The 24946-nt window shown below is 39.0% G+C and overlaps 1 protein-coding gene across 10 annotated transcripts in view, besides 1 other annotated feature; it reads left to right on the forward strand.

The window, feature by feature from the left end:
* Positions 10308-10357: a silencer, noted in NCBI's record as "silent region_12226". NCBI's record gives its function as "represses an Ori minimal core promoter by ATAC-STARR-seq in GM12878 lymphoblastoid cells {active_cell/tissue: GM12878}" and the evidence as "EXISTENCE:reporter gene assay evidence [ECO:0000049][PMID:35858748]".
* Positions 10374-24946, forward strand: part of SGO2 (shugoshin 2) — a 57955-nt gene continuing 43382 nt past the window's right edge. For 2 of the 10 annotated variants that reach the window (XM_017003452.3, XM_017003454.3), the window contains exons 1-6: positions 10374-10484; positions 16008-16133; positions 16535-16587; positions 17206-17340; positions 19228-19403; positions 20297-20374. In XM_017003452.3, the coding sequence (XP_016858941.1) occupies positions 16099-16133; positions 16535-16587; positions 17206-17340; positions 19228-19403; positions 20297-20374 (477 nt within the window). In that variant the 5' untranslated portion in view covers positions 10374-10484; positions 16008-16098. Of the gene's footprint in view, positions 10973-16007; positions 16134-16534; positions 16588-17205; positions 17341-19227; positions 19404-20296; positions 20375-24946 lie in introns of all 10 variants that reach the window. The other 8 variants (XM_005246344.5, XM_047443502.1, NM_001160033.1 and 5 more) reach the window with 6 other exon arrangements.

The following is a 24946-nucleotide window of genomic DNA, read 5'->3' on the forward strand; positions in this document are numbered from 1 at the left end:
CTAAATGAAGAGGAAAATAAGTAAAAAGAAATTTTAGTGCCAAGTAAATGAGTTTCAAAGCTTTTTTGTCTTGTTTTGTTTTGCTCTGTTGCCCAAGCTGGAGTGCAATGGCACAATCTCAGCTCACTGGAACCTCCGCCTCCTGTGTTCAAGGGATTCTCCTGTCTCAACCTCCCAAGTAGCTGGGATTACAGGCATGCACCACCATGCCTGGCTAATTTTTTGTATTTTTAGTAGAGACGGGGTTTCACCATGTTGGCTAGGCTGGTCTCGAACTCCTGACCTCAAGTAATCCATCCGCCTTGGCCTCCAAAGTGCTGGGATTGCAGGTATGAGCCACTGCGCCGGGCCTCAAAGCTTTAAAAATATGCAATCTTTAGCTACATACACATGCATGTGCATGCATGTACACATGCAAAAGCCATCCATTGACAAACTGTATTTCACTGCAGAAGAGAATACCCTTGAACTTGAAATCTCATAAACCATATCAAATCTTTGAAATGAACAGATGACGTATTATTCAAGGTTTTCCAGATAAAAAGAACCAATAATTAGTATGTGCATATATATGTAGATATAGATACAGATATACAGATATAGATTAGAAATATGCATTTAATATAAAGCATTGGCTCACACAAATATGAAGGCTGAGAGGTCTTATGATCTGCTCTCTTCAAGATGGAGACCCAGGAAAGCCAGTGGTATAGCTCAAAGGCCTGAAAGCCAGAGAACTGACTACACAAATTCCAGGCTGAATGTGAAGACCTGAGAACCATGAGCCCTGAGCCAGGGCAGGTGAAGGTTGCTATGCCTGCTCAATACACAGGCAGAGACCTAGCAAACACACTGGGGAGGTCAGTCTGCTTTCTCAGTCTCCCAATTTAAATGCTAATCTCTTCCAGAAGCACTCTCACAGTCATATCCAGAAATAATACTTAACCAGATAGCTGGGCATTCCATGATCCAGTCAAGTTGACATATAAAATTAACTACCACAGGTGAAAACAGAGTAAATATATACAAAACCATTATAAGAAGAAAACAGAAAACAAGACCGTGTCAGCTGATGAAAATTCTCCTCTCCCCCCGAAAAGAATCCAAAGCAGAAGAAAACTGACATAAACTCCAAAGTGAAGTAAATATCTTCAAAGAAGCTTTTGGGAATATGAAAAAAACACCTTGAATCATAAATTTTAAAGTAAAAATGGACAAAAAATGGGAAGAAATAAAAGAGAGTGTGTTAGATCCAAGAAAGAAATATAAGAAAAAGACAAATTACTGCAGAAGTGAAGAACAAATTGCAAAGTTTCCAGAGGAAAAGAGAATTAAATAAAATCTTAATAAGGGACAGGGAAATAACCAAGATATGAAAAGAAGATACAAAACTAAAAGCTTTGAGAGAAAAGAAGTGGTTGAAATGGAAGACATTTCAGAGAGAAATAGTTGAAATGGAAGACAGGCAAAGAAGAAACAACATACAAATTATTGCAGTCCTTAAGGGATATACACAAACAACAAAGGAACAGAACTAATATTTGGGACCATAATCCAAGCATGTTTCAGGATATAAAAGAATATATAAATCTATATACCAAAAGGACTCATCAATTATGTGGGAAAATTAATCCAGAATTGTCAACTCTAAACCATACGCAAGTAAAATTATTAGATTTCAAAGATAAAGAAAAAATCCCCGAGATCTCCAAGGGAAAAAAGATCAAGAAATTACAAGGACGAGAGAATTAGACTGGCACAGGACTGCTCAAAAACAATATATTAACAAGGCAACAATGGAACAGCAGTTTAAAAAAAAAGCTCAAGGAAAAAAGTGTGAATCAAGGACTTCCAGGCAACCCATTCTTCAAGTATTAAATATCAAGCCAAGAAAAGATGAGTTTTAAACATGAAAAAATTTAGGGAATTTTTAATACATGAACCCTTCTTGAAGAATCTTTGAAAAGATGATTTCTGCTCAACCAAGTAGCGAAACTTTCTCAAAAGGACAGATGGTGATCATTTACTATATTTAATTGTAGACCTAAGACTAAACAAAGGTGGGGACAAAGCTAACAAAATATTGTTATATGTTGATATGGTTTGGCTGTGTCCCCACCCAAATCTCATCTTGAATTGTAGCTCCCATAATCCCCATGTGTCATGGGAGGGACCTGTTGGGAGGTAATTGAATCATGGGGGTGGGTTTTTTCTGTGTTGTTCTTGTGATAGTGAATAAGTCTCACGAGATCTGATGGTTTTATAAAGGGCAGCTCCCCTACACATGCTCTCTTGCCTTCCACCATGTAAGACATGCCTTTGCTCCACCTTCACCTTCTGCCATAATTGTGAGGCCTCCTTGGCCATGTGGAGCTGTGAGTCCATTAAACCTCATTTACTTTATAAATTACCCAGTCTCAGGTATGTCTTTATTGGCAGCATGAGAACGGACTAAAGCATATGTTGTATGTAGTACATTCTGACAAAGTAGAAATAACACAACTGAAAATGGGAAAAGGGAACAAGAAAAAGGAAAATAGAATAAGCCTACCAATTGTGATATAGGCAATGGATAGGGGTTAAGGGACAATATTAAAATTAAAAAGTCAGATAATCGAAGGTTAAATAAAAAAGAGGGAATGAAGTTTCTTGAAAAAGGTATAGTACAAAGATAACCAGTAGAATAAAACTGTGAGCTTTCTTAAATACAAAAAAATTTTTTAAAATTAAAATAGCAAAAAAAAGTGTCATGCAAAGAAAGAAACACAGCAAATAAAACACAGTTTTAAGATTATTATAGTATAAAATATGTATAACAAAATAAGTTGAACTGTCATATTAATGAGTATGAATGAGTTTAACTTATCTATTAAAAGCAAAAGATTTCCACTGGACATGCTCATTCCCATAATCCTAGCGCTTTGAGAGGCCGAGGCAGGCAGATCACCTGAGGTCAGGAGTTCGAGACCAGCCTGGTCAACATGGTGAACTCCGTCTCTACTAAAAATACAAAAAGTAGCCAGATATGGTGGTGGGTGCCTATAATCCCATCTACTCAGGAGGTTGAGGCAGGAGAATCACTTGAACCCAGGAGGCAGGGGTTGCAGTAAGCCGAGATCATGCCACTGCACTCCAGCCTGGGTGACAGAGAGAGAGACTCTGTTTCAAAAAAAAAAGGCAAAAGAGATTTTCAATTTTGTTCACAAAGCAAGATGCTGAAAATAAGAGACATGACTGATTCAAAATGATTCAGAAAGTCTAAAAAGGGATGGGCAAAAGTACACTAGACAAATGGAAACAACAACAAAGGAGGGGTTGTGATACTAATGTCAAGATAAAGTTTAAACCAAAATGCATTAAATGAGACAAAGGAGGGCATGTTTTCATGCCACAGTTCACAATGGATATACTACAGTTACGAATTCTGTTCACCAAATAACTCAGCAGCAACCTTTATAAGGAAAAACTACAGGACATGCAAAGAAACACTGATAGAAACACACTAACAAAAAGACTTCAAGACACTACCTTCAGTACAAAACAGACTCAGTAGCCAAAAAAGAGGAATTAATGTAGACCTAAGTCGTATAAGCAATAATATAGATCTTACAGATACACAGCCATGCATCACTTAAGGATGGGAATATGTTCTGAGAAATTCATCTTTATGCAATTTGATTGTTGTGTGAACATCATAGAGTGCACTTACACAAATCTAGATGGCATAGCCTACTATACACCTAGGCAATATTGTATGGGCTATTACCCCTAGGCTACAAACCTGTACAGTGTGATACTGTACTGAATACTAGAGGCAGTGGTAACACAATGGTATTCGTATATCTAAACATATCTAAACATAGAAAAGGTATAGTAAAAATATGATATAAATGACTTTGAAAAATGGTACACCTGCATAGGGCGCTTACCATGAATGGGGCTTGGAGGACTGGAAGTTGCTCTGGGTGAGTCAGTGAGTGAGTGGTGAATGAATGTGAAGGCCCAGGACATTACTGTATATTAGGGTAGGCTTTATAAACACTATACACTTAGGCTACCTTAATTTATTTAAAAAATAAAGGAATTGTGCTATGATGTTACAATGACTATGATGTCACTAGGCAACAGGAATGTTTTAGCTCCATTATAATCTTATGGGACCACCATCGTACATTTGTTTGGTAGTTGACTGAAACATCATAATGTGGGGCATGACTATAATTATTTTATTTCTTTCTGTTAGACAAACTGTTTACAGGAGATAAGGAAGTTTTGGTTTATGCCTAAATAATTTCACTTACCTTAGTTTTTACTGAAATAAAAGCATAGAAGTTTTAAATGTAGAGTTGCCTTTCTTTTAAGGAAGCAAATGTTTTGAAGATAACTGTCCAACATTTATGTGAATGTGAAAACTTACAAAGTACTCTGGTTTTCAAACTTATCTATGCCTACAATATCTGGTCTTTCTTCTCTTCTTCCCACCACAAAGGAAAAGGAGACCCTTCAGCTCACAGCTTAGCCCTGATTCTAACCCCTGCCTCACCACTACTAACTGCTTTCCTATGTCAGCCTCTCTCCCTCTACAAGCTCCCTTATCCAGCTTTTAAAAAGAATATGTGAACCCCAAAAATTTGAGACAGGTCTCAGTTAATTTAGAAAGTTTATTTTGCCAAAGTTAAGGACTCGGGCCTGTGACACAGCCTCAGGAAGTCCTGATGACATGTGCCCAAGGTTGTCGGGGCACAGCTTGGTTTTATACATTTTAAGGAGGCATGAGACGTCAATCAATATATGTAAGAAGTACATTGGTTCCACCCAGAAAGGTGGGGACAACTTGAAGCAGGGACAGGGCTTCCAGGTCACAGGTAAATGAGAGACAAATGGTTGCATTCTTTTGAGTTTCTGATAGGCTTTTCTGAAGGAGGCAATCAGAATGTACATTTATCTCAGTGAGCAGAGGGATGACTTTGAATAGAGTGGGAGGAAAGTTTTGTCCTGAGCAGTTTCCACCTTGACTTTTCCCTTTAGCTTAGTAATTTTGAGGCCCCAAGATTTTCCTTTCACAAATACAAACCCCCCCTCCAACCTCATTCCCCTGTAGCTATTGTTACTTCTTTCTTGATCCTCAAAGAACTGTCTATTCTCATCTCTGCATCCTCTCTGCTGCAAAAGGAATGACTCCTTAACTGTCAAACCCCAGGACTGTTCTCACTCAGGTCTTCCTGCTGCTTAAGACCAGGTTGGCAGTCCCTTCCCAACCATCATTCCTCCCTCAGCCCTCCCACGTGTCTCCTTCTACCTCTCACTGCCTCTCTTGCTGCCTTTTCATCTTTCCTCCATTCATTGATGTTCACCGTGATTCTACCTTCTACTCTTCTTGTGCCTCTACACACTCTTCCTCCACAACTTAATCAACTCTTGTGATTTCTAATTACTATTTGCTGCTGACTCCCAAATCTGAGTATCCCTTTTCAGCTCCATATTTCTTATTTCTGTGAGCCTACTGGACATTTCTGACTAGATCTCCTAAATAGCAGAGTTATTTTCCACAGCTGCTATTCCTTTGCATTTTCAATGAAGAGTGGAAAAGGGAAGGCTATATGATGAGGAAGGGTATGGGGGTCTCTGGGACCCCATCCAGCAGCCAGGGAATGTCCATATGGAAATAACTCTGGAGACGTGGGCTTCAGGACCATGCCAGCAGCGTGGTACATGTAACTGTGAGTCCACTGGTAAAGCCAGTGAGTACAGCAGCTATCTTTTCAGGCCCCTTCCTCAAGCCTCCACTTTGTATGGTTTGGATTTTATGAGTGGAGATATTGAGTAAAGGAGTACTTTAAGCTTTTCGGACTTCCTGCAGAGGCACAGGGTGGAGGCTGAGAAGTAGACTACACCCCAGTCTCTCAGTGTCATCCAACATCTGGACTGGAGTAGTGTAGAGAAAAAAGTCGCCATGAGAACCACGGCTAGAGGTTATCTAGCTGGACAAGTGGTAGACCAAGTTCCCTGATTATTTTATCCCTTTCCAGACAAGCCTCCCTTCTACACACACATACACCTTGGTCAGACATAAGGAAGCTTGGTGCTCCTGTTACATATTCCCTGCCCTTGCCTAAACCACAGAAATGTTCTTGAATCACCTCAAGGCTCAAAGACCCCTTCCATCTATCCCCAACATCGATCCTGGATTTTCTAGAGTTAATCGGATCTTTATCACTCCCTTTTCTTAAACTTCTTGAGAGTTTAAGCACTGCTCCCTCCCCTACACCCAATGCTTTCCTTCATTGTCCACACAAAGTAAAGCTTCTTAGCGTGCACCCAAGATCCTTCTGTTACTTGACTTTGTCTAACCTCTCAGCCTTTGCTCCCCCTATCTGACCACATGCGTCCTAGGCCCCAGCAGCTCTGAACTGCTTCCTGGGACAGGCTATGTGCTGTCAGCCTAATGAATCCCACCCAACTTGGCCTTCGAGGTTCCACCGCTAAGTGACTTCCCCTGAAGATTTGTCTTCCCTCTTCTTTTAAGAGCTGCTCTTTGTTTCCTAAATATTCTTTCTTTCTTTCTTTCTTTCTTTCTTTCTTTCTTTCTTTCTTTCTTTCTCTTTCTTTCTTTCTTTCCTTCCTTCCTTCCTTCTTTCTATCTTTCTTTCCTTCTTTCTTGAGACAAGAGTCTTGCTAAGTTACCCAGGCTGGTCTTCAACTCCTAGGCTCAAGCGATCCTCCTGCCCTGGCCTCCCAAAATGCTGGGATTACAGGTGTGAGTCACCGCAGCTGTCCTGTTTCCTAAATGCTTTGATGGCATCTTTTGCAAACCTCAACATCTACATATCACAATATACAGGAATGGACTGTTTGCTTGTCTACTGTCTCCCAAAAGGAAAGAACATTTGCCTCATCCATCTTTACCCTCAGCAAAATGCCAGGTGCAAAGGGGCTCCTGATAAACGTATATTGAAGAAAAAGAGGAGGCTGACAAGCAGGAAACATGAGGAAATTAGCATGATGGATACCATGCCTCAAAACCAAAGTGACAAATGACAAAGTAATTCTCTCACTATCTTGAGAGGCTCAGGCCAGGCTGCCTGGGTTCAAATACCAGCTGCACCACTTAACTAAACCTTGTAGAAGTTACTTAAATTTTTGGTGCTTTCTTGGTTCCACCCAGAAAGGTGGGGACAATTTCCTCAACTTTAAAAAGGAAATGATGGTACCTACCACATAGGATCATTTTGAGAACTAAAAAGGCATTTAAAGGGCTTGACACAGTGTCTAGGACAAGATAAGCCCTTAATAAATATTATCTGCTGCTGTTATAATGATTAGCTATCCATCACCCAGCACAGCTTATTTAACTGGTTTCTATTAAATAAAATAAAAGTAATTATTGTAGTAAAGTTGCATAAAATACTGAAATGAACCTTTGTCATTCTTTTGGCCGCCTAGCTCAAAATGCACTTCCTGAGTTTGGGTAATTCCTCACCTTATGAGTCTGTCTAGGTTACCTCTCACTAAGAAGCCACCATCATCATAATCATCATCATCATCAACACAACAACAAAAGCCAGACACAGGCTGTTCAGGACTCCCTTGCAGCAGGACTTGTAGCATATGATTCAGGTTTGACGAGTCAGACACACCCAAACCAGGTCTAGCAACAGGAGCTAGTAATGCCAAGCAGCAGTGATGGGAAAACTGCAGCACAACTATGCCCACTTTCCCATATGCAGTGGTGGTCCCAGTGGTCCCAGCAGCAGTGGTGGTCCCAGTGGCGGCATCTAGTGCCACTGTTGGCTGTACAAGATCAGCTGCATCCTCAAAGGGCTATTTTTGGTAGCATGACCATGGCTAGGTGCTCGTCTGCTGCCAAGCTCCCCTTATTTTCCAAGCCTGTATCTCTATCCTACCCAGAAATGCTTTAACCCACCCAATATTCTTTTCTGCTTCTATCAGCCTGGGTTAATTTTCCTTGGTGCAATTCATCCTGCCAGACTGGTACAGATGATCAGGTCAGATGGTTTCATAAGATGTAAGTACACTCCTTCTACTTTGTTTTATTGCTTTATTGATTTGCAGTGTTCTTTACTTGGCTCCTGCTCAGGGACTGTTCTTGGATGATTTTTGTTTTAGTAATGCCGATATGTTAAAGAGGGTTTTTCTGGTTTTTGTTTTATGGCAATTACACTTTCTCTCTTTCCTTTCCTTCCCATCCCTTTTTTGGTGTGAGTGATTGTGTCTTAGGACAATCAAATTTTAATTGACTGGAATCTATGCTTAGGTAGAGAAAATCAGGCAACTAACAAGTATAAGAATAAAGGAAAACAGATGGAGAGGAACAAAATCAGTGCCCAGTGCAGGAGAGTATCACAACAGGTCTGTGAGCTCATTTAATGTAACTAGTTTCTTTTACAGATAAAATACTTGAAACAAGGAACACACAGCTAATGGCTCAGCCACAACTATAATAACTGCATCTCCAGACTTCTCATCCAGGGCTCCTGCCTCTATCCATTATACCAAGAGGCAAAAGGCAAATAACTAAAAAGCAAGCTGAGATCACGTTAAATTTAACCCGACTAATTATACTTTTAGGTTTATGGTTGTATATGATACTAATTTACATTTTCAAGAGGTTTTACAATTTACAAAGCAGTTAAATCCTTTCAACTGCTCTGAGATAAGGTAGCACTTTTTTTTTTTTTTTTTTTTTTTTTTTTTTTGAGACGGAGTCTTGCTCTGTCGCCCAGGCTGGAGTGCGGTGGCGCGATCTCGGCTCACTGCAAGCTCCGCCTCCCGGGTTCACGCCATTCTCCTGCCTCAGCCTCCGGAGTAGCTGGGACTACAGGCGCCCGCCACCACGCCCGGCTAATTTTTTGTATTTTTAGCAGAGACGGGGTTTCACTGTGTTAGCCAGGATGGTCTCGCTCTCCTGACCTCGTGATCCGCCCGCCTCGGCCTTCCAAAGTGCTGGCATTACAGGCGTGAGCCACCGCGCCCGGCTAGCACTTTTTTTTTTAAAGAGGTCTTGGTATTCATGTCTTGATAAATGTTTTAGCATCTCTTCTACCTCTGATTTTCCTGTCTCCCTTTTCTATTTGTTTTGGTTTTGAAGCTGTAACTACAAAATGTGTCCATTGGGAAGAGAGCAATATTAATGTATTTGAACAAAAGGGCCCATTGATTGAAACCATCATAAAAATATATGGGATGCTGTTTAACTCCATTTTACAAATAAGGAAACAGAAGCCCAGAGAGATTAAGTAGTTTGGCCAAGATTAAATAACCATTAAATGGCACAGTCACTACAAGGTTCATTTAAAAAAACATATAACATACATTGAGCATTTAATGTGTCAGGCTGGGTAAACAAGATATAGTGCTAGTTAACTCCTAGGTAAGCATAAATTTCTATAACCAGTATATTACTTTGTAAACCACTGTCTTCTGGAATTTTAGCAGCTGGACAATCAGTAAATACTTTTCTACTTACACAAGATTCATGTAACCAGATCTGTTTGGAGACTGATCGTGATTTATATTAGACTAAAAGATCTTAACTCAAAAGCATGTTTTGCATCATTTGTCTAGATTCTTTAAAGTAAAAATGGAAAGCTGTAATTCTCAAATGTCTTCGAATGAACAAAAAATTGACAAGAATATGAAGCTGACTGCATTACTGTATCATCAATTATTGGAACCTTGATTTAACAAGCTATTTTCATTTTCAGTCCAATGGCATACAAAGAGGAAATTTTATTCTTTGTAGTTTCTCCAAATTCTTTGTAAAAATTATGAAAGTAATTTGCGAAAAATAAGCGAATTGACATGGAATATAAGGTGAATAATACATTTTTAAAATGTAGTTGTGTATAATGGAAAACGTCATTCTTGTATATTCAGCTAAAACAGACCATTAGTGCAAGACCTAAATATTAATGAGATCCGGGGTTTGCAACGAAATGTCATTGCTGCTTTTCCCCCAGAAAGTTAAAAGAAAAACGGGGAGAGCTTTTAAGTGAAAACTAAATGTGCTGGCGTCACACTTGGAAATGCAAGGATGCAGAAGAAATGGTAAGATGTGGGTGGGTAGTATCCCAGTAAACAACATAAACCTTCTAACAGACTTGAGGTGGCTGTCAAGCCTTTCAGACATGTGATTGATAATGAATGTCAGAGGAGAGTTTCCTTTTCCATCAACGCTTCAGGAGACAGCGGACCGCCACCAACACAGGGCGGAAGAGCACCCCTGTCACGCAGACTGTGCCGCCCCCGGCTCGCCTGGGCACGCCCCTTCCTGCCCTAGCAGCGGCGTCCCGCCCTTTCCGCCTTTCACTTCCTAGTAACCGCCCTCCCTTGCTCCATCTTCGCAGGACCCGATTGGCTGATGGGGCAACCGCCAACGGCTGTGGCGTTTAAACCCAAGCCGCAGCCGCTGCTGCTCGCCGAGCTCCCGGAGCTGGGTGGGGGTGCCCCACGCTGAAAGAGAGGTAAGTTAGTGGCCTGCGGCAGTTGACGTGACCGCCCTCTCCCTGTCGGGATCGGTGTCGTTCTTGAGTCGGTTCTCTAGGCGCTGTCCGCCTCGGTCTCCGGCTCGTCTTCCGCCCTCTGTCCTCCGGGATCCGGGACGGCGGCCCCTCTCCGGCTACGAGGGGTTCGTTGACGGAGTCCTGTTTTGGCTTTGAGTCGCTGCCTCTTGTTTCTGAGATTTGAGCGTCCGGCAGGGCGAGCGGGGAGAGCCACCAGTTAGGTCAGCTACTTAAGGGAAGATATTTCTGTCTCTGGGACTGCTCTACTCCCTTGAACAGTTTCTAGGGCATTGTGAGCGCTCAGTACGTGTCTGCGGAATGAATGTTAGGGACTGCGTGCCAAAGTTCTCGAAGGAGCCCTCTCGTTTGGAGAGGCTGGCTGAAGGCGAAGGGGTGATGGAAGACTAGGGAGAACTTGGAACTTAGAACTTGAGCTGCTTGATGTACAGGTAGGATTTCAGTAGAGAATAGGGACAATGATTTTTTAGATGAGGTATCCAATTCAGGAGAATTGGATGTGGAACTGAGTATTTCGTATTTAGAGATAGTCGAGATGCTGGCCGGACAAGTGTCACAGAGTGCTGGTATTGAGTGCTGATAGTTTACCAGGTCCCGTACTAGACACTGTACATACATTGGCTCATTTAGTCCCTACAAGGAGATGCCCTTATTTTTTATGGTTTTATAAATCTGGAAATTGAGACGAAGAGGTGTTGAGATCACATAGCTATGAAACGTTGGAACTGGAGCTCCAACACAGTTGTAATCACTATCATAATGTCTCAGTGTCTATATGGTAAATCACCCTGGAACAGTACCCCAAATGCCTGGTTCTGGCTCCTAAAGTTTCCCTTGGTGAGGTCATTGATGTAGGGGGTTGCAGGGCAGTGTCAAGGAACACTCCCAGATTTCTGGCATGAGGATTTGAATAGGCGATTGACAGTGTCGTTTATTAAATTAAGGAATTGTGTCAGAACCAGCTTATTGGGGAGGGCAGTCCAGCTGTGGTTTCCTAATTAGTAAAGTGAGATTTGATATTCCAGACTGGATTTTTTGGGAGATGAACTAGATTTCTATGTTAGGATCCCTTTCAGGTGTGTGAGATGCAACAGTTTGTGGGGAGTTTCTGTGTTCTACTGTCTTTGAGATAGATAGTGATCTTTGATTTTAAAGTTTCTTCCTGGCAAAACGTTTAAAAGAACTGTTGAGCCTTAATCTTGAAAGGTTTCTGGTTCAACTTATTCCCCATTGCAGAAATTTCTTCTAAAACCATCTTTCCGTTATTTGCTTGACACCTCCCAACATCTGCTTAACACTTTCAAAGGAGACCCATTCCAAGAGTGGGCGGTTTTTCTATTGGAAAGTTCTTCCATTCATTCATAGTCACTTCTTCCACAAATGTTTATCCAGCAGCTGCTATGTGGCAGGCACATTTCTGTACTAAGGTACAGAAGCAAACAAATTTGACAAAAGTTTATGCCCTCATTGAACTTACAATTTAGTAGGAGAAAACAGATAATAAGTTAACTATTTAATTTTATCTTAGACATTGATAAGTTAACGGAGAAAAATAAAACAGAAGGGGAGAATGGGGGTAAGTGTGCAGTTTTTAAGTAGTTTGGACTGGGAAGGCTCACTAAGAAAGTGACATTTTGGCAAATGCTCGAAGGAAGTGAGCAAGCCCTGTGGTCATTTGAAGGAAGAGTTGATACAAAGGGAAGAAGGAATAAAAGTTTCTGCTTTAGAGCATGTCAAGGTAGGCAGTGTGGCCAGAGATTATTGAGCAAGAGAAAGATTAATGAAAAGGATTAGAAAGGTTCACTGATGATTAATTGGGGAAGAGAAGTGTCAAATTGTATAGTACTTTCTAGGCCATTTTAAAGATTGAGTGAGATGGAAAGCTACTGGAGAGTTTTTTTTAACATGGGAGTAACATGAATTTACTTAAGCTTTAAAAGGATCATTGTGGTTGCTAGGTTAAGAATAGATAGTCGGGGAGAAAATGGAAGCAGGGACACCATTCACGTAGCTATAGCAAATAATGTACATGGGAGAGAATGGCAACTTGAATCAAAGTGGTAGCAGTAGAAATAGTGGTAAGTAGCCCAGGTGGATATATTGTGAAAGCTGGGTCAGCATAATTGATCATAGAATAGATGTGGGATATGAAAGGAACTTTCTGACCTGAGCAACTGAAAGAATGGAGTTGTCATTAAGTGAGCTAGGGAGGACATGGTGGAGTAGGTTGGGGTGGGGGGAGTTTAGGACATGTTAAATTTGAGATGTGTGTTAGAAATCCTAGTTGGAGATGCGTAGTAGGCAGTTGGATGAATAAATCTGGAGTTCAAGGGAAAAGTCTAGATTGGGAACACAAATTTGAGAGTTATCAGCATTTAGATTTAAAAGCCAGGATACTGGCTGATAGTCCAGGGAGTATATGTAAATATAAAAGAGATGAGATCCAAGGACTGAGATCTGGGGCACTCCAGTGGTAAGAGGTTAGGGAGATGAAGAATAACCAGCAAGAGGGACTGAGAAGTGGTCAGCGAGGCAGGAGAAAATCCTGCCTCAGAACAAACAGAAGAATGTGCTATTTTGCAACCAAGTGAAGAGCGTATTTCAAAAGGAAGGAATGACTTGATATTAAATGCTTTTCACAGATCAAGTAAAAAGAGACTGGGCCTGACCACAGTATTTGATTTAACAACATAGTAATTCAGTGACCTTAATGAACAGTTCCCATATAGTAGTGGTGAGAGCAGAAATTTCATTGTAGTGGATCAAGAGAGACTGGGAGGAGATAAATTGGAGACATCAAGTATAGACAACTCTCTAAAGGAGTTTTGCTGTGAAGGGAAGCAGGGAAATCAGGTCATAGCATTCCAGCATCAAGGGACCACTTGTATTTTCTTAAATGTTTCATTTTCATGCATTTACACATGCCATTCTTTCTTCCTGGAATGCCCTTCCTAATCTTGATGCCTGACAAGTTTTTAGTTTCTAAGACTTACTTATTCATTCAACAAATATTTACTGTGTTGATATCATTTGTAAGGCGCTATTCCATGCGCTGGGGAATATATCAGTGAATAAAACATAAAAATCCATGACCTCCTAGAATTTAAATTCTAGTTGGGGAAGACAGACAATAAATAAATCTATAGTATGTTAGATAGTGATAGATGTTGAGGGAAGGAGCTACAGTTTTGTTTCGTTTTGTTTTGTTTTGTTTTTTGTTTTTTTGTTTTTGAGACGGAGTCTCACTCTGTCACCCAGGCTGGAGTGCCATGGTTTGATCTCACTCAGCTCACTGCAGCCTCCACCTCCTGGGTTCAAGCATTTCTCCTGCCTCAGCCTCCTGAGTACCTGGGATTACGGGCACCTGCCACCACACCTAACTAATTTTTTTGTATTTTTAGTAGAGACGGGTTTCACCATGTTGGCTGGGCTGGTCTCGAACTCCTGACCTCAGGTGATCCACCCACCTCAGCCTCCCAAAGTGCTGGGATTGCTGGCATGAGCCACTGCACCCAGCCTGGAGCTACAGTTTTAAGTGACCTCACTGAGAGGGTGACATTTGAAGAGACTTGATGGAGGAGAGTGAATGGGCCATTTGTATATCTGGAGGAAGATGTTTCTAAACAGCATTTATTCTAAATGCAGAATAACCAGTATAAAGGACCTGAGGCTGAAGAATGCCTGGCATATGCTCCAAACAGCTAGATTTTGGTGGCCAGTATGGCCTGAGGGGAATGCGATAGAGGGAGAGGAGGAGGAGTTCAAATTAGAGAAGTGTAGAGCTAGTGGAGAGACCGTACTAAGGACTTTGGAGAGAAGTGGGAACCATGGGAGAGTTTTAGATTGTATAGATTAGTTCACTGTAGGGACAGCAGCAGTGGAAATAGGGAGTCAAAGCCTGTTGCAGAAACTCAAGTGAGACATGGTAGTGCCTCTGACTAGGTTGGCAGCAATGGACATACTGAGAATTGGTCAGATTCTAAATATATTGTGAAGGTAAGTTGAGATATGAGAGAGATTTTTGGCCTGAGCAACTGGAAGGATGAAATTACCATGAACTGAAATAGAAAATGCTCTGAGTGAAGCAGGTTTGGACAAGTTAAATTTGATGCATCTACTTTAGTTATTAAAGTGGAATTGTGGAGTAGACAGCTGGATACATGAATCCAGTGTTCAGGAAAGAGATCCAAACTGAGGACATAAATTATGGAGTTCTTGGCATCTGGCTGGTATTTTAAGTGATGAGACTGTATGAAATCACCAAAGAAGGGAGTGTAGATAAAGAGAGGAAGTTCAAGGAAAGACCCCGTTAGAGGTTGGAAGAACCTGTAAAAGAGACAGAGGAGGAACAGGTAGGTAGGTAGGTAGGAAAAAAACATAGGCGTTTGATGTTCTGGAAGCCAAGGAAATACAATTTTTGAGGAAGGAGAAATTAACCACATTAAAATGCTGCTGATAGATCAAGTTAGATGAAGACTGAGAATTGACTATTAGATTTAGCAGCACAGAAGTCATCAGAGATCTTGGAAAAAAGCAGTTTTGGTGGAATAGTCTAAGTGAAAGCCTGATTGAAGTAGGTTTATGAGAAAGTTGGAAACTGAGTATAGACAATGTTTTCAAGGAGATTTGCTGTAAAGATCTGCAGAGAATTGGAGTGGTAGTCTGAGTATGAAGTGGGAACAAAAGAGGGTTCTTTAAGGTGAGGAAATAGCAGTGTGTTTGTATATTGATGAGAATGGTCCAGTGGAAAAGGAAAAAAATTGATGATATCGGGAAAGAATTGTTGGAGTGATGTCTTTAAGGAGGCAGGAAGGCATGGGATCCAGTGCATGGATCCGTATCTAGGAACACAGTTGATCCCTAACAACAGGAGAGAAAACAGATACACAGATACAGGTATGGTATGTAGGTAATTGCAATGGAAGTTTTGAGAAAGTTCTCCACAGGTTGCTTCAGTGTTCTGAGAGAGAATAACAATGAGTGAGGATATGAAATAATTCATAAAGAGGAGTGACCCAGGGATTGATAACAGCAGTGAAGGGAAAGGGGTAATAGAGTCTAGTGACAGTATATTCAAGGATGGGAATTTTTAGGGAGGAGGGAAGATGAATGGTCTGCAGACATGAATGTGTTGTAGCCTCTAGAAGGGGTGTGGGAGGGAAAACAGCACCTGCCTGACAGGACTGCAGGAGAATCTGTGTCCTCAGGGGAGAGGGTGGTTCAAGAAGATGAAGGGAACATTCAGAGAAGAGATTGAGGCTGTAGAGGTTTGGTTGATGATGGAATGTGAGTTCTAGAGGACCTCATGAGTCTGGCAAGGGTAAGATAGGCAGGCTGTATTCATTTCCTTTGGCTGCTGTAACAAATTATCATAAATGAGGTGCTTAAAACAACTGAAATGTATTTCCCCACAGTTCTGGAGGCCAGAAGTCTAAATTCAGTTATCACTGGTTTTCCCACCTCAAGGTGTATTCCCAGCTGCACTCTCTCTGGAGGCTCTTCAGGAGAATCTGTTCCTTGCTTTGTCAATTCCTGATGGCTGCTGGCAGTCCTTGGCATGTGGCTGCATCACTCCTGTCTCTGCTGTCTCTTGTAAGGACTCTTGTGATAGTATTTAGTCCTGCCTGGATAATCCAGGATAATCTCCCCATTACAAGATCCTCAATTTATTCATATCTTCAAAGGCCCTTTTTCCACATGAGGTTTAGAATTAAAGGGATCTAATAACTTTGGGGGACCATTTTCCAGCTTACCACAGGACCAGATGAGGAATGTGTAGCACTTAGGGGATTCGAGTGAGGGGAATGAACGTGACCCAGGAGTTGAGGGATTCTTGCCATGATTGATAAAGTGAGCTGAGTCCTGGATTGACATAGTGAGCTGAGTCCTGTGGACTCAAGGCAGGTAGTGGTGGGGAGGCTGAGTATTGAGGGTTAGGCAGGTGCAGGTGACAGAGTTTTTTGTTTTTTTTTTTGTTTTTTTTTTTTTTTCAGATCTCTTCAGATGGAGGCAAGGAGGCTTGGGAAGGAAATGGAGGCATGGGGAGGTTGGTCTTACATGGCTCAACATCAACTGCTGCTTCTCAGTGAAGCTATTTCTGATCCTTTTCCTCTGCCCAGTCACAGTTAATCGCTTCTCCTCTGCATTGTGTATTGTAGCCATTACTCTTGTAATACTATAATGTAATGATTTCTTTATCTTCCTGTTTCCATAATAGGCCATAAATCTAATAGACAAATTTAAGATTTCCTATTTCTCCAACCCCCTTCCCCACCTTGGATTGGGTATATCTCTTCTGTACTTCCTTTAAACTCTGTGTATATCTCTAAGGTTATACTTCTTACATTGTATGAAAACACTGTCTGTACCCGCATTGTACCATGCATTCCATGAGGGCAGAGACCATATCCTGTCATCTTTCCCCTGCACCTGGTACATAGATGATTAATGTAGGCTTAAATGAAAAAAATAATCATTTACCTTTTTGGATTATACCTTAAGCCACTTTTGATTACATTCATACTTTCAGATTTTATGTAAAGTTTAGCAAATACTTAATGCACAAAGTATATTAAGTCATGATTGTTACTTTTTAAAATGTATTTATCAGTTATACTTTTTCTTTTATTAATCAATACTATGATTTTTTTTTCTTTCACTTCAGTGATGGAGTGCCCAGTGATGGAAACTGGCTCACTTTTTACCTCAGGAATTAAGAGACATTTGAAAGACAAAAGAATTTCAAAGACTACTAAGTTGAATGTTTCTCTTGCTTCAAAAATAAAAACAAAAATACTAAGTAAGTGCCATCAGTTTTAAAATACACTCACGTTTTAACTTTTCCCCAGAATTGTTATATATTTGCTACCTTATTTTATCAAGTACAGAAAATTACTAAAATGACCATTTTGTTAACTGATAACTTTTTAAATTTGATCCTTCCTATCTCCTTCAACTCCTGTTAGTTGGGTGGTTTTGATGATTTACCCTAAGTGTGACACAGTTGAATTTTCAGCAGTGAGGCTGCAGTGACCCAAGACAGCTACTTTCTACAGCGCAGAAAAAAACTACCAACATGACTTTTCTGGAACAGATGTAGTAAGAGTAGCAGGTTGTTCTGGCATGTTGTGGCAACTGGATGATGGGTAGCCTTGAGGAGGTGGGCTCACACTGGGTGCTTATATATACGTGTGTATATATATAATGTATATGTGTGTGTGTGTGTGTGTGTGTGTGTGTATACATGTGACTTTATATAGGCAATCTTATGAAGACACTGAGCACTTTGGAAATGGAATTTCATGAATTCTGGAGTTAAGGCATCAGAAGGGCAAAAAAAAAAGGAGGTGGGAAAACTCCCCAAGATAAATTTTCATTACTTCTGAAAATTATCTCAGTGTTCATACCCATCTTAGCAGGAGTTGGGGAGGTATCCTTTTAGTCACATTATCTGCTGATATAGCTCCTGCGAAGGACAATCACGTGTGCCTTCTAAAACAACCCAGCCTCCTGGGTGCCTGTAAATCATGATGCAGCTCCCACCTAGGTCTCTAGGGCCACTCCTTACACTGGCTCTTGCTTACTCCCTTTGGCAAGACTATTCCACACCCCCTGTTATGAAGGAATATGCTGACTTTGAGGAGTACAACAGGAAAATGTTATTACTCTTTATCTTCTGGAAATCCTAAGCTTGTTGTAGTCAGTTTCCATTTGCTATGCCAAGAATGGCTATCCAAAACTACTCTCTCTGTGCCAAAGGTAAAGTACTGTTTTGGACTCTGTTTTGCAGAATCCCAAGTTTTCCCTGAGTACTTATAAAATGTTATTAAATTTTATAAAACTTATTTCACATACACTAGACTTTTATTCAGTGGCATATGTTATTGAATAGTGAAATGTAAGTTAAAATTATGAAAATATAATGATATTTTAAATGTACTAAGGGAACACACTATATTTATGGTAAGCTTTACCAGGGAATTCACAATGAAATTTCTTTGCTTCCAACAGAAAAGCAATTTCAGGCGTGATTTAAATCATATTTACATAGTGCTTTTAAAGAGGAGTCGAGTTTAGATTGCAGTAGATGCCTAGAAATAAGAGGTAGAATCTTTTAGATGGCAGTAAAAGGTCCCGTGGGGTTTAGATTATCTATCTAACATTAGAGAAAGTATGGCTCTATCACTCAAAGTTTAAAAATGGGCGTTGGGAGTATTAAGTAATTTGTTCAGTTCTGGAGCTGTAGAAGCTGGCTTTAGAATTTTCCCAGATTGGCTACCCTCATTCCTATGGGACATTTCCAGTTAGAGCTGCAGAATCAGTTTCTCCATTCTGTCTGCTAGTCAAAGGTAGGAAATTAGGTAGAGCAGCAAGTATCAAGATTTAATTTTTGTGACTGATCTAATTATGTAGAATGCTATGTCTGTGCTGCAGTCCTCTTACTCCTTTTTTATACATATTCTGCATTCCTCACAACTCTTGAATTCTTCATCTTCTGTCTAGCTTTCATTTCCTCACCTCTAAACTCTGGGTTTATTTTTCTCAAAACTACATCTGTATTGTTATTCCCTTTTCTAATCTTCAGTTAAAACTTGTGAAATGCATTTTGTCTATGTTTTACTAAGGAATATAAAAATTTCTTAAGGTATAAGCTGAATATTAACTCATTTTAAAAATCTTTTTACAGATAATTCTTCTATTTTCAAAATATCTTTAAAGCACAACAACAGGGCATTAGCTCAGGCTCTTAGTAGAGAAAAAGAGAATTCTCGAAGAATTACAACTGAAAAGATGCTATTGCAAAAAGAAGTAGAGAAACTGAATTTTGAGAACACATTTCTTCGCCTAAAGCTAAATAACTTGGTATGTAAGCTATATTGTTTTTGAATTCTAATTATAACTTAAATCTTTTAGCTGCATTATTATAGAAGCTTTAAAAATATTTTTCAAATCTCCAATAGTGAAAAATTATTGAAAGTCAGTATACCATGTAAGTCTATGTCAAAGTACAAACTGTTAATGGGTAATAAAATATGTGTTTTAAATCTACATTCTAAATGTGTGCTTGTGTGCTGTGTAAACCAGTATAATACTTTGACCAACATTCGATTGCTAATCATAAACAAAGCTTGGTACATTAATACATTTTTAAAAGATGGTCATAGTTCTTCCGGTGTTCTTGAAAGGAAAGGAATTCCCAGAATGTTGTTATTCTTTTTTAATCTCAGCATTTACCTGGCTACAAGCTAAACAGAATGAGAATTATAGTTGTTTCTTTTCCTTCCAAATTTCAACTCTGTTCACAGACAGGACAGTGAGAGCCAATGATTAGCTAGGCTGCAACTATAGATCTAAATCTAAAATGAGTAGAACTTTTTATAATGGAAAAAGGACCTACTCTACTTGTGGGTTTAATTCCGGTGGCTGACAAACTGTTCTCTTGCCATGTGATATATTACTATGAGAAGATAGAAAAATGTTTATAGGAAAACAAAATTGTTCTAAAGTATTCAACATATGTGTGTGTGTGTGTATACATGTATGTATGTATGATATGTATGACTATTTGGACTATATAATACTATTTGGTACTATATAATATACCATTTTAGCTGAATGTGATCTCAATTTTTAGCTCAATATGATATCAACTATTTTTTAAGTTTTCTCACATGGATGGCATTCATAAATGCCTGATATTATAATAAATTACAAGTCTTAACTGATTAAAAGGGGTCTTTATTTTACATGTGCAGAATAAGAAGCTTATAGACATAGAAGCTCTCATGAACAATAACTTGATAACTGCAATTGAAATGAGCAGTCTTTCTGAGGTAAGTAGAATTTATATGTAAATAGTGTTGTTCTTTAGATTACTGAGGATCACTGAGATTACTTAAATAACATCAAGGTTAGAGATTCACATTTCAAGTTTTGTGCAAAGGACTGATGATAATATCAGTTTTAACTGGCTAACAGCATATTATCATTTTGTATAATTGGTTATTGAAAATGTCATATGAAAATTAGGTTTTTATTAAAAGTAACAGGATTAGACAGGTTAGTGGAACATACTGGCTCCTAAATGGACTCAGAAACATAAAGACATTAGTAGAAAGGAAGCATTTTAAGTGAGGAAAGACTTTGGGGTTTTTGTTTTTTGTTTGTTTGTTTTAAAGATGGACACAATTGAAAAACTGGGGAAAAAAATAGAGGCTGGTCCTACTTTATACTGTTTTCTAAAACAAATTCTAAATTTCCCAAATGCTTTTCATGTGGTTCTTTTTGGAGAATTCAGAGGGCTGAGGTCAACATCTAGATTAAGGAAAAGTAAAAACTGGACAGCAGGTAGATGGAGAAGCTGGAGGTGAAGGCACAGTATACATTCTTGGTAGCTACCTTCTTGAACTTACTATTTAACAGACTAACTTTTGCATACCAAGCTTTAAAATTCTTTTTCTTTCTAGTTGTTACTAAGTGGGGCAGGTGATGGGTCATATAGACGTACTGTTCTAACATCAGAACGAGATAAGAAAAGTATAGAATAAAGTTTCACACATGCTTTTGTCCGCCTTCAGCTACTTTCTTCTCCGTTCTGTCTTCTCCTTGTACCTCATGCAGGTGATTGCTTTCATCTATTTCTTTATATAAAAACAAACAAACAAAATAAATATTTTCTTACTTTTCTTCTTTACACAAAAGATAGCATGCTATACCAGATGTTCTATACCTTTTTATGTGACATATCTTGGGGATCTCTCCATATGATTATGTGGAGTGATTCCTCATTCTCTTTTGGTGCTGCTTTGGATAGATCCAGAGTGGACTTGTAATCTACCTCACTAGGCTCCTGTTGTTGGACACTTGGGTTATCCTTTGCTGTTGGCTTGTGTTAGTGTAGAGTGCCTTTCCCTCTTGCATCATTAATTTTTTCCCTCCCTTCTGGATTATTCCCATCAGGATGCAAAAATGTTATCATCTCTCATCTTAAAAAATAAATAAATAAACCTCTTACTTCACCTACTTCCCCGCTACTATCTCAGCTCTCTTCTTGCCTTTACAGCAAAGCTTTTTGAGAGATTTATTCACTATCTCTAGTTTCTCTTGATCCCAAGCCAATTGGGTTTTCACCACCAGTCCACTAAATCCTGAAAGTCACCATTGATGTCCATGTTGCGAAAACCCACGGATAATTCTTGGTTCTTCTATTGACTTCACATGACTTTTAGAATACCACACACTCCTAAGTCTCTTCCTACCTTTCTGGCTATTCCTTTTCAGTCTGTTTGCTGGTTTCTCTTTATTTTACTAAGTTTTGGGAATGCCTTATGACTCAGTTCTTGGACTTCTCTTTTCTATCTACATTCACTCCTCCTAAATAATTTTATTCTATCTTATGGTTTTAATTACTGCTATACACTGTTGACTTTCAAATTTGTAACTCCAGCCTGACCATCTCCTCTGACCTCCAGACAATTTATATCTAATTACCTACTTGGCATCTGTTTGGATGTCTAAAAGCCATCTCAAATTTCACATTTGCCACCAAACCAGTTCTTTTTGAGATTTTCATCTAAGGTAATCACAACTCTCTTTTCCTGTCTTTTTCTCACACCCCATATCTGATCCTTTGGCAAATCATTTTAGTTCTGCCTTCAAAATCAGTCTACAATTCTACCAGTTCTCACAATCCTCTTTCACCACGCATGTCCAAGGCACTGTTATGTCTTACTTACATATTGTATTAATATTAGCATCCCAACTTGGCCTTCTTACTTTTTCTCTTGTTCCTCTATGTATTCTCTTCTTATTATAACAGCCAGAGTGATGCTGTTAAAATGTTAGTCTCTGCTTCAAACTCTCCAGTGGAGTCTTATCTATTGCTTGATGTGATCTGAAAACTGAAACTCTTCTTATTTCTTCCACCTCATTTGCTACTCTCCTCTTTCTTCCACTCCTTAACCTTTTCAGTGCAGTTCTCTTCCCACTCCCTCAGAGGTGAGCTGCTACCATAGTGCCTTTGTACATGTTCTGTCTGCATGTGACAAGTTCCCGTCCTTCAAATGTTGACTCAAAAGTGACTGCAGTGAAGCCTTCCCTAGCAACTCTGCATAAATTTAAACACTCCTCACCCCTGCACTTACATTTCATATCCTGCTTTTCTTCTTTAATCTTTCTCCTTAACACTTAACACTCACTGTATGACAATTTTGTTTATTGTTCATCCCATCAGAATGTAAGCTTTTTGAGTGCAGGGATGTCTTTACCAGAACAACATCTAGAACATAGTAGGATGCAATAAATACATATAAAATATTAGGTAGTGTTTCCCCAGTAAGACTGATGCTTGTTTTATATGTAAATAAGTAAGGTACATATATTTCCTGCAGTCCCTCTTTGATTGAGCTTTTTAAATACAAATAATGCTAAGTAATGTAAGTATCTTTTTAGTATGATGATGATGTGGTCTTTTTAGGTGGCTTAGTATGATTATTTATTTTAGTAACTTTCCTAATTTTACATTTCTGTAATAAACTTCAGAAGTGATTTTTCTTTTAATATGCTGCTGAATTCTTTTTTGCCAGTTTTGCTTAAGATTTTTCTATTGTTAGTTATAAGTGAGGACTCTGAGGTTTTTTTTCTATGCATGGAAAAAAACATAAGACCATACAGTCTTTAGGCATTGATAAAAATGTTATATATACTAAGCCCATAAAAAGAATTTGGATGTTTTACTTTTTCTATGTTCTTTAAAAGTGATACAGTATTATAATTGTTTTTCTTTAAAGGTTTTGTAGAATTATTCTGTGAAACCATCTGGACCTGGGACTTTTCTGATGAGAGTGATAGTAGCTTTTTGTTGACTTTATTTATCCTGTGGATATTGGTCCCCTTAGGAAAATGTCTTTCTTTCTTTTGTGTTTAGTTTTATTAAATTATTTTTCCTTAGAAAGTTATCTGTTTCATCTAAGTTTTTAAATGGATGTTCACAGAGTTGACCAGAGTAGTCTGTCATTATTCTTTTAATTTTGTCTGTGTTGCATTTCCCCAGTTGATTAATTTTATGTATTTGGGCTTTTATTTGTCTTTTTTCTCCCCACTATCTTAGGTTGTTGTGATTTTTCTATTTTATTTTATTCTTTTAAAAGAATCATCTTTCTAATTTAATTTAATGTTTGATGTTTCAAACATTTTTTGCTTTTATTTTTAATAAGTTCTTTTGCCTTTTTGTGGTTCATTGTTACTTTTCTAACTTTGAGTCAATGCTTTTTTTAATTGTTAACTGTAGGTAAGATGCCATTTTTCTCTCAATACTTTCAATTTTTTAAATTGTCTTTAGTTTTGAGAATTTTGACTTTGATGTGTTTTGCCATGAATTTCCTTGAGTTTATCTTTTTGAGGTTCACTCAGCTTCTTGAATTTGTAGGTTGATGTCTCTATCAAGTTTGGAAAAATGTTCAGCCATAATGTCCCCAAGTACTTTTCCAGTCCTGCCCTCTTTCTCTTTCTCCTTTCCTCTAGGACTCTGATGACAGGAATGTTTTATCTTTTTTGCTATTCCACAAATTCCTAACCCTCTGTTATTTTTTTCAGTCTCTTTTCTTTCTTGTTCAGTTTGAGTAATTTCTATTGTTCTATCTCCAAGTTCAGGGATTTCTTTCCCCCCTTTTTTTCTCGGTTTTGCTGTTGAGCCCATTTAATTTATTTTATTTTATTTGGTTATTACATTTTTCAGTTCTGAGCTCCATTCGGCTCTTTGTATCTATTTGTTTGCTGAGATGTTCCATTTTTTCATTTGTTTTAAGCATGTTAGTAATTGCTTGTTGAAGCATTTTTATGATACTTGTTTTAAAATCTTTGTCAGATAATTCCAACATTTGTGTCATCTCAGTGATGATATCTATTGTCCTTTCTCATTCAAATTTAGAGTTACCTGATTTTTGGTATGACAAGTGATTGATTTTTGATTGTATCTTGGACATTTTAGATGCATTATAAGACATTGGATCTTATTTCCATCTTGTGTTTAAGCAGACCTCCTTTGACACTACACTGGTGGTAAGGGGAGGTGCTGCCTACTGCCAAGTGGGGACTGAAGTTTAGACTTCCCATTCAGCCTCTGTTGACAACACTGTGGTGGGCATAACTGATGAGTGGGTCTGAGAGTTCAGGCTGACACCACTATGGCTGGAACAGGGAAGGGTGCACCTCATTACTTTCATGGCCTCTGCTGACATGAGGATGAGGAGGATAATGAAGGGGGGAGGTTGTTACTACTGAAGAGTGATGAAAATCCTAGTTCTTTATTAAACCACTTCTATCCCCACCATAGAGGAGAGGGAGGGGAACTCCTTCTTATCACTGAATGGGGATGTATAGCATATAGACATTTTATTTTCTGTGTA

Source organism: Homo sapiens, chromosome 2, assembly GCF_000001405.40.
Source record: "Homo sapiens chromosome 2, GRCh38.p14 Primary Assembly".
NCBI lineage: Eukaryota > Metazoa > Chordata > Mammalia > Primates > Hominidae > Homo > Homo sapiens.